This window comes from Homo sapiens, chromosome 1 (assembly GCF_000001405.40).
Source record: "Homo sapiens chromosome 1, GRCh38.p14 Primary Assembly".
Taxonomy (NCBI): domain Eukaryota; kingdom Metazoa; phylum Chordata; class Mammalia; order Primates; family Hominidae; genus Homo; species Homo sapiens.
In genome coordinates, this window is record NC_000001.11 from 177,194,102 (window position 1) to 177,209,471 (window position 15,370).

The following is a 15,370-nucleotide window of genomic DNA, read 5'->3' on the forward strand; positions in this document are numbered from 1 at the left end:
TGAGATGTTTGGCTGTATTTATTATTGTTTGTATCATGTAGAAAGGAAACAGTGAAATTCTTCTCCCTTAATTATTCTCCATATAGGAGAGACTATGGGAGGCTTTTTGTTTTCTGTTTTTCTCACTAACATTTTTAAAGCAACTTGTAGGAAAACAAATTTTCTATTCCTCCCAACACCTTAAAAATCTTTTTACATGACAGAATCTTAGTCCTGGTTCCTTCTATGAATAGGATATTTCACTTTGCCATTGTTTGTTATCCACCATCCAAGGAGGATAGATAATGGAGTTCTTTCTGCCAAGCAAATGTTTCTGAGAACCTGGGTCCAGACGAGGACACTGTGCTCTATCTTGGACTCTGCCTGAAAAGGACATCCATGTTTTAAATGGACAGAATCACAAAGATGAGAAATGTTCATTTGCCTGGTATCAGGAATGGGAATGAGATGCATTCTTAATTTGCAGGCAAAACCTTGTGTCTAACCATTTAGTGTATCAAATCTCCTTCTATCCCCTTTTGATTTTAATAAGCCTTCATTTTTTCCCTCTCCTGAACAGCTTCCCATGACTAAGAAGATTTAACTCTCTTTCCGTACATTTATGGGTGTCTCATACACATTTGCATATGGATAGAAAATGTAGGACTCTTAAGTGGCGAGGCTGTGTGTGTGTATGTGTGTGTGTGTGTGCACATGAGTGTGAAGCATACTCATCAGGACCTGCATGGCCCAGTAGTCTCTGGTCCCCTTAAGACGCTCTGTACTTTCTCCAGTGGTATTCTACTAGTTGGAACATTTTTGGATTTTCTTGTTAAGACATCACCTTCCGGGCCTCATAACAAAATAACTTCTACCCATTCATTAATTTTCTCATTGTTTCACCAAATACCTCTCGATCATCTATTGTATGGCCAGGAAGATGGCAGAACCTGTGGGTATAAAATTTAAAAAAATGATATGCTCACCACTCTTAGAAAGCTCACAGCCCAGAGTTTTTTCTAAACAAAGCCCACTTTTCTTCACTGTCCTGTTTCTTATTCATTGTATTTGGTTCTAAATGACATTTTATCTAAATATAAATTATTCTCTCAAAGGACAAATATTTGCCACCATTAATTGTATTTACAGGAATGTGCTTCAAGTTTTGGAGGCACTTCCAAAAATATTATTGGGCCATTGCCATATCCCTGTAATAAAACAGTGTACCTAAGGGACTTTTGTGATAAGCAAACTTCTCCTTTTGGATGTTTCAGTTCTAGCATATTTTGCAAAGACTGTTACTATTTTATAGCCTAATCTTACGCTCACATACTCAGGAGCAGCCCAAGGCAGACACGCTAAGGACAAAGCACGAGTCCAGCGCCCTGCCTTTCCTTTCAGCATTTTTCTCCCTCTTCTGTGACCGCTCTCAACCTCAAATCACCAAGTCCTCCTATGCCGTTTCTTACTTCAACTGAGTTTGAATCTTCAACTGTCACTCACTGATTTTATGGCTTTAGGCAAGTTATTTAACCCCTCTGGCTCAAGCAAAGTCAAACCAACACCAACGCTGGCAAGTGGGGGGGGAATCAATCCCTGAAAAGCAGCTGACAGACAGCCAAGCCAATCTTGGGATGTCAAGGGGCAAAGCAGACATCATTGAGCAGCCGGAGAACAAAACACACCAAAAGCCAAGTGGAGAAAAACGTGTGGGGCCCAAGTCATGGATGAATGGCAAAAATGCCCTGTAGGTAGCATTGTTGATAACAGATAGGCCAAGAGCAAAAAAACCTGGCACATGGCATTTTGCTGATTTGTTGCTTCTTTTAAAAGGGTTTGGTGTACTCCCCTCTCTGGGCTGTTGCCTCAAAGCATTTGTAAAGAATAATGATACCTTCCTCCCTGGGTTATTTTAAGATTTTGATGACACGCTGAATATGAAAGTGCTTTGAAAACTGTAAAGTGCTCTACAAATGCTAATTTCTCTATTTACCCCTTTTCAAAACTGCTCAAAGCTGGCAATTTATAGTAGGATAAGAGAAACAAATTCATGGTCAGGACAATGACTGATAATGTTGAATGAAGTGTGCATTTTAACGGATTGCATTTTCCTAACTCAGTTGGTTCAACCCAGATATACCTTAGAATCACCTAATGAACCTTGGATGCTTACCAGTGCTCAGGCCCTAGTTCCAGAGATTCTGCACTGACTCGTTTAAGGAGGGGTCCAGCTATCCATGTGGCTTAAAAGGTGATTCTAGGTGCGGTGGCTCACGCCTGTAATCCCAGCACTTTGGGAGGCCAAAGTGGGTGGATCACCTGAGGTCGGGAGTTTGAGACCAGCCTGGCCAACATGGTGAAACCCCATCTCTACTACAAATACAAAAATTTGCTGAATGTGGTGGTGCATGCCTGTAATCCCAGCTACTTGGGAGGCTGAGGCAGGAGAATCACTTGAACCCGGGAGTCAGAGGTTGCAGTGAGCTGAGATTGCGCCACTGCACTCCAGCCTGGGCAACAAGAATGAAACTCCATCTCAAAAAAAAAAAAGAAAGAAAAAGAAATGCAAATTCTTAGTTCCCACCTCAGACCTATTGACTCAGAAGCTCTTTGAGTGTGCTGTAGTTACCTGTTTTAATATGCCCTTTGGTTGATTCTGATGTACACAGATGCTTGAGAATCTTTGCAGTAGGGAAACTGAATCAGAGGTTAAGTAACTTGCTCAAAGTCATTTAGAGACTAAATAGCAGAAGGATTCAAACCCAGGCAATCTGGCTCAGAGAACTCACTCTTAACGTCTGTGCTGAAAAGAAGAAAAAAATCCTTCCATCCTGCTATGAACTGAATTGCTCCCCCACCCCAGTCCCCCCAGTTCATATGTTGGATCCCCACATCTCAAACGTGACTGTGTCTAGAGATAGAGTCTTTAGGAGGTAATTAAGGTTGAATGAGGTGAGAAGGTTGGGCCCCGTATTAGTCCATTCTCACATTGACATAAAGAAATACCTGAGACTGGGTAATTTATAAAGAAAAGAAGTTTAAAAAAAATTGGCTCACAGTTTTGCAGGCTGGATAGGAAGCACAGCGGCTTCTGCTTCTGGGGAGGCCTTAGGAAGCTTCCAATCATGGAAGGCAAAGGGGGAGCAAGGTGTCTCACATGGCAGGAGCAGGAGCCAGAGAGAGCAAAGTAGGAGGTGCTACACACTTTTAAACAACCAAATCTTGCAAGAACTCACTCACTATCATGAGAACAGCACCAAAGGGAGTTAAACCATTGATGAAGGAGCCGCCTGTATGATCCAATCACCTCCCAACCAGGCCCCACCTCCAAGATTGGGGATTACAGTTAAACATGAGATATGGGTGGGGCACAGACCCAAATCATATCAGATCCTAATCTGATAGGGTGTGACTTTATAAAAAAAGAGAGAGAGAAGCCATGTGAGGACATAGTGAGATGGTGGCTGTCTGCAAGCCAGGAAGGGAGACTTTGCCAGGAAACAAACTGTGGTAGGCCTTGATCTTGAACTTTCCAGCCTCTACAACTGTGAGAAAATAAATTTCAGTTGTTTAAACCACCCAGACTTTGGTATTGTGTTATGGCACCCAAGCCGACCAAGATGCATACCCACCAAAAAGGAAGAAAGATCATATGCAAAAGGGCCAGAGAAAGGAGAGACCATGGAATTTACCTGAAGCCTTGAATGAATTGGATGGGGAATAAGGTGTGTTGGATGAAGAGCAGGTGATCGGGTATGAGGATGTGACAAGAATGAAAGTTAGAGAGAGTGAAGGTAGGTCCTAAAGGCCTTGAAATCAAGAGAAAGGTGTTTCCACTTTTTAAAATATGAGTGATGAGGAGCAACTCAAGGATTTTAAGCAGATCAAATTTGCATTTTAGAACAATAACTATTAGAGAGAAAAAGATGGATATGAATATGGTGATTTGCTGAGGGGGGAGTGCGACAGTGGTAAATTGATAAGCTAGGAAGCTGTTGCATGATCCCAGGTTCAAAGCAAAGAAAATGTGAACTAAGGTCATAAAAGTTTGAGTCTAAAATATGAATATAAGATGCATTGGGATTAAAAAGCCTATGGAAAATGTATGTAGAAATGTTCACATATATATTACATCTAAACAGACAAAGGTATAGATTTGTATGAGTATGGATGGAGAAAGTTGCATGTCTTTAGACATGTATTAAGCTGTTAACATTTCTTCTTCAAAGAAGCAGAACTGGAGAGGAAAGGAAGAAATAATTACTGTTCCCTTATGCCCTTGTATTGTTTCACTTATTGCAATGAGCATGTGGTGCCTATTTAATTTTTCAGCAAATTCAACGATGATTGTATATGCACACACACACCCAGTTCTGGAGGTCAGATGTGAGACCTTGGCTTGAGATGTAAAATTGGGCGACAGTGCTGTATGGGTACTAATGAATCATGTGGGAGTTCAGAACCCTTAGGAAGTCCTCCAAATATGGCAGGCTGGGGTCCACCTTTTTTAAAAAATGGGCAAAGGAAAACAGATGAGCATAGAAGAACTAGCCAGAGAAGAGATGTCAGAAAAGAGTCCATTATCCTGAGGAAGCTGTTTCTTCATCCCTCATTGTATTCCCAGTTCTTGACATATAATAAATGCTCACTCAGTCATTCCACAGTTCTTGGATGAAAGAATGCATTTCAGGAAGAGCAGTGACTCCAATGTTACATGCTGCTAGAAAAGTCAGGTTAGCTCTGCAAACACCTTTTGAATTTGGCAATTAGGAGGTTTCTGAGAGTCAAAAGAGAGAAGAGCCACTTTTACTTTTTACACCTGTCTCAGTCATTTCTCATATCTGATGTCTCCCTTCCTAACCCTGAAAAGAAATTATACTCACAGATACATGAACACACACACCATACACATAAGCTTCATGTAGACACTGCATTCTATTTTTGTTCCTGAGGTAATATTTTAGGTAAGGAAAAAAAGCCACCCTTCAAGATTTTCATTCATTGCAAGATGGGAGTAGGAGTCAGGGGAAGCATATGTAAAGATCTTTGACCTATTTTAAGATATTTCACCTTATTGCCCCCAAATGGTTGCAGTCTTAAACCTTTAAACTTGGCAGCATGATAATTGTCTTAGAGAGAGGAATTGTAGGCCAAATTTGAGGAAAATCAATGACCTATTTTCAGTAGGGTGGTGGTTTTGGTTTCCAACTTTGGCCGCATACACTAGAGCACTTTTGTTTGACTTTTTAAGGACAACTTTGCCCCACATGAGTCCAGCAGAGAGGATGATTATCTGATAACATTTGGTCATCAGTTCCTTCTGAGGCCCAAGTCACAGAGATGAAAGGAGAATGGAGAGGCCACCAACCCTTCCCCAAATGTCCCAGGCAGACTGGAATTGAGAACTATTTTAAGGATTCATTCCCATATTTAGTAACTCACAGCATCTGATCTAGATTTCCTTTGTATTCAAGAGGAGTCCGTCAGGCTACAGCTGAAGTCCTTTCTTTTCCTTTCTTTAGTGAAGATTCAGAAAAGGCAGACAGCATTTTCAGGGTGAAAAGAACTTCTCAGCATTCTAATTTTAAAATTTTATTTAGGTTGAGAAATTTGAGATTCAAGCACGTCCCAAGATTGTTTTGTTGATGTACAAAAGCAGGACAGGAAAAAAGTAGAAGACTTTTTAAAAAATGCACTCAGTTATAGAATATAGCCAAACTCCTTTCTTTTCCTTATTCTTCTCAAGCAATGCATCTGCAGATATTCATGGCTCTATGTGCAAAATATGTAGAGAATCTGACCACTTTGCACCATCTTCACAGCTACTGTCCTAGTCTAAGCCACCATCATCATTTACTTGGTCCATTATTCTGACCTCTGAACTGGTCTCTACTTTTACCCATGGTATCCTAGAATGTATTCTCAGGCCAGGCGCCAGGTGTGGGACACACCTGTAATCCCAGCACTTTGGGAGTCTGAGGCAGGGGGATCATCTGTGGTCAGGAGTTCGAGACCAGCCTGGGCAACATGCTGAAACCCCATCTCTATTAAAAAATACAAAATGAGCCACATGTGGTGGTACATGCCTGTGATCCCAGCTACTTGGGATGCTGAGGCAGGAGAATCGCTTGAACCCAGGAGGCAGAGGTTGCAGTGAGCTGAGATTGCGCCCTTGCTCTCCAGCCTGGGCAACAGGAGCGGAAACTCTGTCTCAAAAAAAAAAAAAAAAAAAAAAAAAAAAAGAATGCATTAATGCATTATCAACATAGCAGCCAGAGCAACATAGCAGCCACAGTGAACCTTCTACAGCACAATGTCACACTCAGATGAAAATCTCAAGTCCTTACAGAGTCTTGCAAAATCTGCTCATCGCTGCCCATCTGACCCCATTCCTCCTGCTCTCCCACTCACTGCTTCATCACCACTCCAGCCTCCTGGCCATTCCTCTAACAAGTAAAGCAGGCTCCTCCTACCTGTACTCATTCCTCCCTCGGCTTGTCATACTTTTTTCTTCCAAATGCCGTGTTTGGTTTCTATCTCATTTGCTTCAAGTCTTTGCTCTAATACACCTATTTCTTGAGTACTCTATATAAAGCAGCACACCCCGTCTCTCCTTGCCCTGCTTTCTTCTTCTTCCTGGCATTTATGATCACTTAATACTTTGTGTATGTATTTATTTGTATGTTTACTGTGTATACACACCTACCCACCAGAAAGTAAGCATCATAAGATTAAATAATTGATTACTGCTTAACATGTAGCAGTTACTCAATATTTTTTGAAATAAATATGAGATAAAAATAATATTTATAGTGCTTCATTATTTATAAAACAGGTATTGTAAGTGAAGTAACTCAGGAATGGAAAACCAAATACCGTATGTTCTCACTTATAAGTGAGAGCTAAGCTATAAGGATGCAAAAGAATGATACAATGGACTTTGGGGACTCAGGGGCAAGGGTGGGAGTTGGTGAGGGATAAAAGACTACACATTGGGTACAGTGTATGCTGCTCAAGTGATGGGTGCACCAAAATCTCAGAAATCACCAATGAAGAACTTATCCATATACCCAAACACCACCTGTTTCCCCCAAAACTATTGAAATAAAAAAAAGAAAAAATAAATAAACAAAACAGGTATTGAATAGAACTGGACATCTAAGAGTTTCAGAGGTCTAAACTGATGATGGCACAGCTATGCCTTTAGTTTAATTTCTTCTAACATGTTTCTCTTTTAATTGGCTTGGACAGGACGCTTCAGGCAATTTTGGCTTCATCTATTGTGTCATAAAGGACTATTTCTTTAATAAGAGAGAAGGTACACTATTTCTTCAGTTTTCTCTTGAGGCCCAAAAATGAGTCCTTGCCTGTCACTGGAAGTCAAAGATTTTGCCTTGTACTTTTTGTCAGCCTTCATAGTAACAAACACTTTGCTTAGATATAGTTAGTTAACACTGAAAATTTTTTGCTTGAAGAATTAAAATTTGTTGGATATTTAGCTGGCTGAAGTTTGCCTGTCTCAAAGCCTATGTCATGAATGGAGCTCCCTGTGGTTGAATCTGGACTGAGGATCTGGATTGATACACCTTGATCTCATCAAGACCCACTGGGTATCAGGATGATGCTGGCCTCTTAAAATGAGTTAGGGAGGATTCCCTCTTTTTCTATTGACTGGAATAGTTTCAGAAGGAATGGTACCAGCTCCTCCTTGTACCTCTGGTAGAATTCGGCTGTGAATCCATCTGGTCCTGGACTTTTTTTGGTTGGTAAGCTATTAATTATTGCCTCAATTTCAGAGCCTGTTATTGGTCTATTCAGAGATTCAACTTCTTCCTGGTTTAGTCTTGGGAGAGTGTATGTGTCGAGGAATTTATCCATTTCTTCTAGATTTTCTAGTTTATTTGCGTAGAGGTGCTCATAGTATTCTCTGATGGTAGTTTGTATTTCTGTGGGATCGGTGGTGATATCCCCTTTGTCATTTTTTTATTGCATCTATTTGATTCTTCTCTCTTTTCTTCTTTATTAGTCTTGCTAGCGGTCTATCAATTTTGTTGATCTTTTCAAAAAGCCAGCTCCTGGATTCATTGATTTTTTGAAGGGTTTTTTGTGTCTCTATTTCCTTCAGTTCTGCTCTGATCTTAGTTATTTCTTGCCTTCTGCTAGCTTTTGAATGTGTTTGCTCTTGCTTCTCTAGTTCTTTTAATTGTGATGTTACGGTGTCAATTTTAGATCTTTCCTGCTTTCTCTTGTGGGCATTTAGTGCTATAAATTTCCCTCTACACACTGCTTTGAATGTGTCCCAGAGATTCTGGTATGTTGTGTCTTTGTTCTTGTTGGTTTCAAAGAACATCTTTATTTCTGCCTTCATTTCATTATGTACCCAATAGTCATTTAGGAGCAGGTTGTTCAGTTTCCATGTAGTTGAGTGGTTTTGAGTGAGTTTCTTAATCCTGAGTTCTAGTTTGATTGCACTGTGGTCTGAGAGACAGTTTGTTATAATTTCTGTTCTTTTACATTTGCTGAAGAGTGTTTTACTTCCAACTATGTGGTCAATTTTGGAATAGGTGTGGTGTGGTGCTGAAAAGAATGTATATTCTGTTGATTTGGGGTGGAGACATTTATGCGGCCAAAAAACACATGAAAAAATGCTCATCATCACTGGTCATCAGAGAAATGCAAATCGAAACCGCAGTGAGATACCATCTCACACCAGTTAGAATGGCGATCATTAAAAAGTCAGGAAACAACAGGTGCTGGAGAGGATGTGGACAAATAGGAACACTTGTACACTGTTGGTGGGACTGTAAACTAGTTCAACCATTGTGGAAGTCGGTGTGGCAATTCCTCAGGGATCTAGAACTAGAAATACCATTTGACCCAGCCATCCCATTACTGGGTATATACCCAAAGGATTATAAATCATGCTGCTATAAAGACACATGCACACGTATGTTTATTGTGGCACTATTCACAATAGCAAAGACTTGGAACCAACCCAAATGTCCAACAATGATAGACTGGATTAAGAAAATGTGGCACATATACACCATGGAATACTATGCAGCCATAAAAAATGATGAGTTCATGTCCTTTGTAGGGACGTGGATGAAGCTGGAAACCATCATTCTCAGCAAACTATCGCAAGGACAAAAAAACCAAACACAGCATGGTCTCACTCATAGGTGGGAATTGAACAATGAGAACACATGGACACAGGAAGGGGAACATCACACACCAGGGACTGTTGTGGGGTGGGGTTAGTGGGGAGGGATAGCATTAGGAGATATACCTAATGCTAAATGATGAGTTAATGGGTGCAGCACACCAACATGGCACATGTATACATATATAACAAAGCTGCATGTTGTGCACATGTATCCTAAAACTTAAAGTATAATAACGATAAAAAAATAAAAAAAGAAAACATTTAGGACAAACAAAAAGTAATCCTAAAGAAAACAATATGAAATAAAGGAATGAAAATAAAAATTTAAAAAAAAAGACCCACTGGGATAAGGCAAGATTCATGCTGTCATCTGAATGCACTGGTATGAAGTGGGGACCAATAAACCATAACCAATTCACTTTTTATTGATTTAAGGAACATTTTTGAGTGCCGCTTATGTGTTATTTAATATAAAAGATGCTAGGGATAAAACGGACCAAAAGAAATAATATGCAGCCTTTTTGGAACTTACTGACTAGCAGGGGAAACAGAGTTTGACCAAACAATGATCCAAACAAATATGTACAATCATAATTGAAACGTGCTATGAGTAAAAGAGAGGTGATGTTTCAAGAGGCTATAATCAGGAATTTGACCCTGACAGAGAGATTCAAGGAAGGCGTCCTTAAAGCCCTGATGCTGGAACTCAGAATTGTGGGCTAAGAGATAAGGGGACAGACCCCGCATAGGAGTGCCAATATCAGGAGCAAGTGCCCTGTGGTTGAAGGCACCAGATCCCTAGCTTTTTAAACCAGAACATTTGGGGATACAGACATTGGTGTGTTTTATGGCTTTCCAGATAATTCCAAGATGCATCCTACGTTATAAGAACCACAAGAATAGATGTATTATTTTGCCCTTCACTGTGATAGAAACCACTCGAGATTATGAAGCTGGTTGGGTATATTGAATTTGAGGCCGTTTTGAGACACCTAGTTGAAGTAGTCAGTTAGGTAGAACACAAATCATGTGAGTTCAGGAGAGGGCCTAGGGTGGAGGTGTGAATCTCATATGCTCTGTGGCTAACTGCCTTGTGAAGCCATGGATGGAGGTGAGGTCACCAGGGGGTAAAGTATACAGCAAGAGAGAGAAAAGGCCTAGAGCTGAGCTTTGAGAAACTCCAATTGAATGACTTGATGTAGAAGGATGAGTTTATAAGGAGTGGCCACAGAACAAGCAGAAAAAAAAAGAGAGTGGGGCCAAGAAAGCTAAGAAAATATGTTTAAGAAAGAGGCAATGATCAATGGTGTCAAATGGGCTTATGCAAGTGGGCTGGTAACACCAATGCCCGGCTCTCTCTCTAATAAAGAAGGTTAAAAATTTCTGATTACTTTTAATTGAACCCCTGAACTACCATCTGAAACTCTTTCTCTTTTCTTGTCTCATTACAAAGGTAATGAATGTAAAATATAGGAAATTTAGGAAAAACAGATTAGCCAAAATGAAGCAAATTTTAACTACCCATAAACCTACCAACCAGTGATAATTACAAATGATGTTTTTGTGTGTGTATATAGAGTCTTTTTCTAAGCAGATATACATTATGTTTAATGGAATAAAAACTTGCATTCTATTTTATAACCTGAATTTTTCACTTAATACATCCTAAATAATTTTTCATACCACTAAGTGTTCTTGTATGGCATACTTTTAAATGATTGTATTATACTGTATCATATGTATATGTCATAACTTGCTCAAGCAATCTATTATTTGATATTTAGGTTACTTTGGATTTTCCACTATTGTAAATATCATATTATATAATATAAAATGTGTTTAGGAACGTGTGGGGGAAGTGTCAACAAATAGCACTTCTTTCTTCACCTATACTTTTTTTGTTTGTGTTTTTTTGAGATGGAGTTTCACTCTTGTCTTCCAGGCTGGAGTGCAGTGGCATGATCTCGGCTCACAATCTCCACCTCCTGGGTTCAAGCAATTCTACTGCCTCAGCCTCCTAAGGAGTTGGGATTACAGGCACCCACCACTATGTCTGGCTAAATTTTGTATTTTTAGTAGAGACAGAGTTTCGCCACATTGGCCAGGCTGGTTTCGAACTCCTGACCTCTGACCTCAAGTGATCTCTTTCAGTGTCCCAAAGTGCTGGGATTACAGCCGTGAGCCACTGTGCCTGGCCTCCATTTTTCTTCAACAGAATTTCAGTTGAGGAATAAGACGCAAGTAAAGATCAGCTTCATTCCTGAGAAGAATGAGTACAGATCCTAGGATAACCTTGATCTGGAACCAAATCAGGCCAGACAACACAAGCCTTCCCATTGCTACTTCCCTAAATGTGTGGATTTAGCAGGCTGACCACACAGGCAGGGCCTGCTATGCTAAGTTTATTGGGTAACAGAAAACAGGCAGAATGCCCATCCACTGCAGGCTGTCTAGCTGGAAAAGAGAAAGAAGTCTAGAACTAACAGGTCAGTGTGAGCTCTGTGCTTCTCTCAAACTCACAATACCAATAGTTCTTGGTGAGGAGAGAGACCAGGAGTATATTTCATGGTGAAGTCTTCTCCTATGTGACAGCTAGGCTTCAAGATGGCCTTCAATACTCGTTAGTTCCTGGTATTCGCACCCTTGCATAGGCCCCTCCCATAGCGTATCAGTGCTGGTCTATGTGACCAAAAGATACAGCAGAAATGATGATGTGTGATTTTCAAGGCTAGGTCATGAAAGTCATAACAGCTTCTGCATTGCTATCTCTTGGCTCACTCTCTCTGGGGAGGCCAGATTCTGTGAGACGTGAGATGTTGTGAGAATACTTAAGCTGCCCTGTGGAGCGGGCCACATGAAGAGAAATGGAGACCTCCTACCGACAGCCAGCATCAACCCACCAGCCTTGACAATGAACCACCCTAGACCTGAATCCTCTTTCCCCAGTCAAACTTCAGATGACTGAAGCCTTGGCAGGCATTATGGCTACAACCTCATAAGAGACCCAGAGTTAGAGCCACCCAAATTTCTGACCCACAGAGATTAGGTGAGATAGTAAATATTTATTATCATTTCCAATCACTAAATTTTGTTATAAGGTAAGAAAATAATTTGTTACACATTTGTTACATAGTAATAGATTGTTAGTATATTCTTTAGAAACAAAAGGCCAGGTAAATGGTGCTTTCCCTCTCCCAACTAACATCCTTGTAGCTGAATCTTTGTGTACATCTTCAAAATAATTGTCCAGATGTAGACTTGCTAGGTGAAAGGAGATGCAGAACTCTGATGTTTTATAGCTAAATCTTACGTGTATTATTTTAGATATCACAGCATTGGCCTTAAAGCACGTGGTCATGTCACCACTACTCTTGCCCCACTCACACACATGCCTGAAGAACTGTGTGGAGACAGTGGGACAAGAAGAGGGATAAGGACAGCCAGTGATAGGAGTCCCCAGATGTTAGTAGGAAGCATGAAAGGCACTAGGACATGTGCTGACTTATGGATACTCAACGTGGCTACGTTGGCAAATGAGGCTTCAGAGAGTGACAGAAGTATTTTGTGGGTGAGATGGAAACACACTGATAGATGGAAAGTTAGTCCATCTATCTAAGACATCCACATCTAAGACATATGTGGATAGAAGAGATTAGGGGCAAGAGTGAAAGAAACATACAGCCCCAGAGCAATAGATAATACATATGGTGTTAGAGTTAGAGGAAAACATAACAACCACAGGAGAGGGAGATTTCAGCTAATGATTCCACACATAGCAAGCTGCTTCTGTTTATGGGCAGGAAGCTATAAAGCTGCAACACTAGCACATCAGGCCTTTCAAAGGCCTATTTTTAGAATGCTCCTGATAATGCCTCAGGAGTTGCTAGATCTGAATTAAAAACTCCAGGTCTCTACCTCCCCTCCTTTTCTAAGTAAAGGGTTATTGATTTACTAATGGCCTTTGTATCCTGCTGCAAATAAATCCTATAGAAGAAGAAAGATGTTACCTAGAGCCTGAGTGGCTAACAGCTTGGAAAAACCAAGCTCACAGGTAGACAGATAGAAGGCAAACTTTGAGAAAACTTTGAACCTGAGGCAAAGGGAGGAATCATGCAGGGTGGGAAGGAGGCATTTAAGGGGGAAGAGTAGGGTTGCTGAAAACAAGTGTTGTCATAGGATGCAGCCATGTAAGGGCGGGCATGTGGAAGTCCTGTGTGGATAACAGAGTCCTGCAGGCATTTGTTGGAACCAGAGATTTGTCAGAGGAGTGGGGTGCAACCAAGGGTCTCTGGGCTGAGTGGCAAATACATGCCTCGAATCTGGTCCCAGCTGTACCATTAGTCGCATATGTAAGTCTAAACCTCAGAATCTGGATTCTGCATCTTTCTCTATGAAACAAAGGGCCTTTGTGATGAGTCTAGAATTCCAGATGTCAGTTGCCGACATGGTGGCCGTTTTCCTGGAATATTTCTCTGGCTACATTGGTTACAGTTTCTCTCTGGTTGCTTCCCTTTCCCTGCTCCCTCAAAAAAGGCTGGTTCCTGGGGCTGAGAGTTAGAATAGGCCCTGGAGGTGGAAGGAGGTGAAGTGAGGAAAGTGAACCAAGAAGCTAAATCTAGACAGGAGGCAGGAAAAGCAAAATAAAGACAGAAAGACAGAAACCAGGAAAGAGAAAAGTCAGGCCAGAGTGGCCAGCAGTGCCAAACGCCGCAGACAAGTTAGGGTAATGGGGGAGAAGTGGATTGAGGGGTGTAGAACCTGGTGGTTACAACCTGCACTCTGGACCCAGACAACCCACTCTGGCCATGAAATGCTGCTTTAGAAATTAATCTCTTTAGCTCCTAATTTCCTCATCCATAAAAAGAATCTAACAGTAGAACACAAAGCTTTTTATTGTCCTGTGGATCAAATGAGACAATGTATGAAAAGCAGTAAGAGCAATGTCTGACACCCAGTCATCGCTCAGTAAGTACTAGCCACAGGTACTAAGATGCCTCCCAGGCTTGGAGACTGGAAAGTTGCCGCAGGTTTTGCAGAAGTCAAGCTTAAAGATGTTTGTGGAAAGACAGGCAGGCACTGTATGTAAGTAGGTTAAAGAACAGTGTTGAGAGGCAAATTTGGGAAGGATAGTTTTGTGTTTGAAACAAATATCCAACAAATGAGAATAAGTAGATAAGTACTGTCTTTTAAAAAAGTGTACTTAACCATTTCCCCACTCTCCTTATCCCCTGGTGTGGTGACGGCTGTAACCCACTAACTGCTGGTAACTGCCCTTCAGAGAAATGCATCCCAGGTGCTGAATCTGTAGAGAGTGTGCATTATTCTCTGGCCCCTTCTCCACTACATTCTACATTTGCATCATAGCCACAGATTTTTTTTTTCTTCATCTTCTTCTTTTTTCAGCTGTTGTCCTTTAACTGTTATTTCCTTAATGAACAGGTAAGATTTGATTTTAACACAGTTATCACAGTAAGTGCTGAAAAGGAAGGTGTCTAGGAGTGACACTGACGTGTTTGGGTCCCAGCCTCAATAAGAATCCTTTGAAGGCACAAATAACACAATTGGAGTTTATCAAAACGCATTACATATTTGAACCCTGGCAAGCCACCTCAGGGTACTGTACTCCAGGGGTGTGTTGATGGTACCCAGAAATGTACGTGATCAGGCAAATGTACTTTTCTTCTTTTGTTTGCCTCTTGGGTCGTCTCTTGCCTTTATTCCCTGCACCTTTACAACTGTGCTGCATCACCAAGAGTGAGGCTTGTCATTCTGGAGTTTAAGAGGTAAAACACAGAAGTGGCAGGGCCCTGTGTGTGACCGCATGGGTTGTGTTCCGCTCAACAACACAGGGTGCCATTCACTTAGGCTACAGTGTGAATGGTGCCTCTTGGTGTTGTGCAAGGACAATCTGCATCACAGTATGTGGTGGCCCTGTAGGGGAAGCAAGGGGTTCTAAGTTAGGATATTTAAAAAAAAAAAAGAAAAAGAAAAAAAGATCTGAAACCATCTTTAATTGAAACTTCAGGGATCGACAAGCACAGAAAGCATATGGGTAATTTCTCCCTAGGCCCTCCACACCAGCTGAGATGTCAGGAGGGCAGCTGCAGCCTTTGGGCAGCTCATTAGGGCAGAGAGTGAGGATGGATGGAGTGAGACAGAAAGCCTCTTCCTGCTGAATCACCAGCACCAGTTCCAAGATCTGCCTGGGCCATCCTCACAGGCTGC

General features: G+C 41.2%; 1 protein-coding gene across 3 annotated transcripts in view; it reads left to right on the forward strand.

The window, feature by feature from the left end:
• BRINP2 (BMP/retinoic acid inducible neural specific 2) overlaps positions 1-15,370 on the forward strand; it is a 111,465-nt gene that overhangs the window by 23,144 nt on the left and 72,951 nt on the right. The window contains exon 1 of one of the 3 annotated variants that reach the window (XM_024448722.2): positions 12,423-14,584. The exons of the other annotated variants lie outside the window; for them this stretch is intronic. The gene's annotated coding sequence lies outside the window, so the exon portion shown is untranslated. Of the gene's footprint in view, positions 1-12,422; positions 14,585-15,370 lie in introns of those variants that run through there. 3 annotated transcript variants of the gene reach the window in all.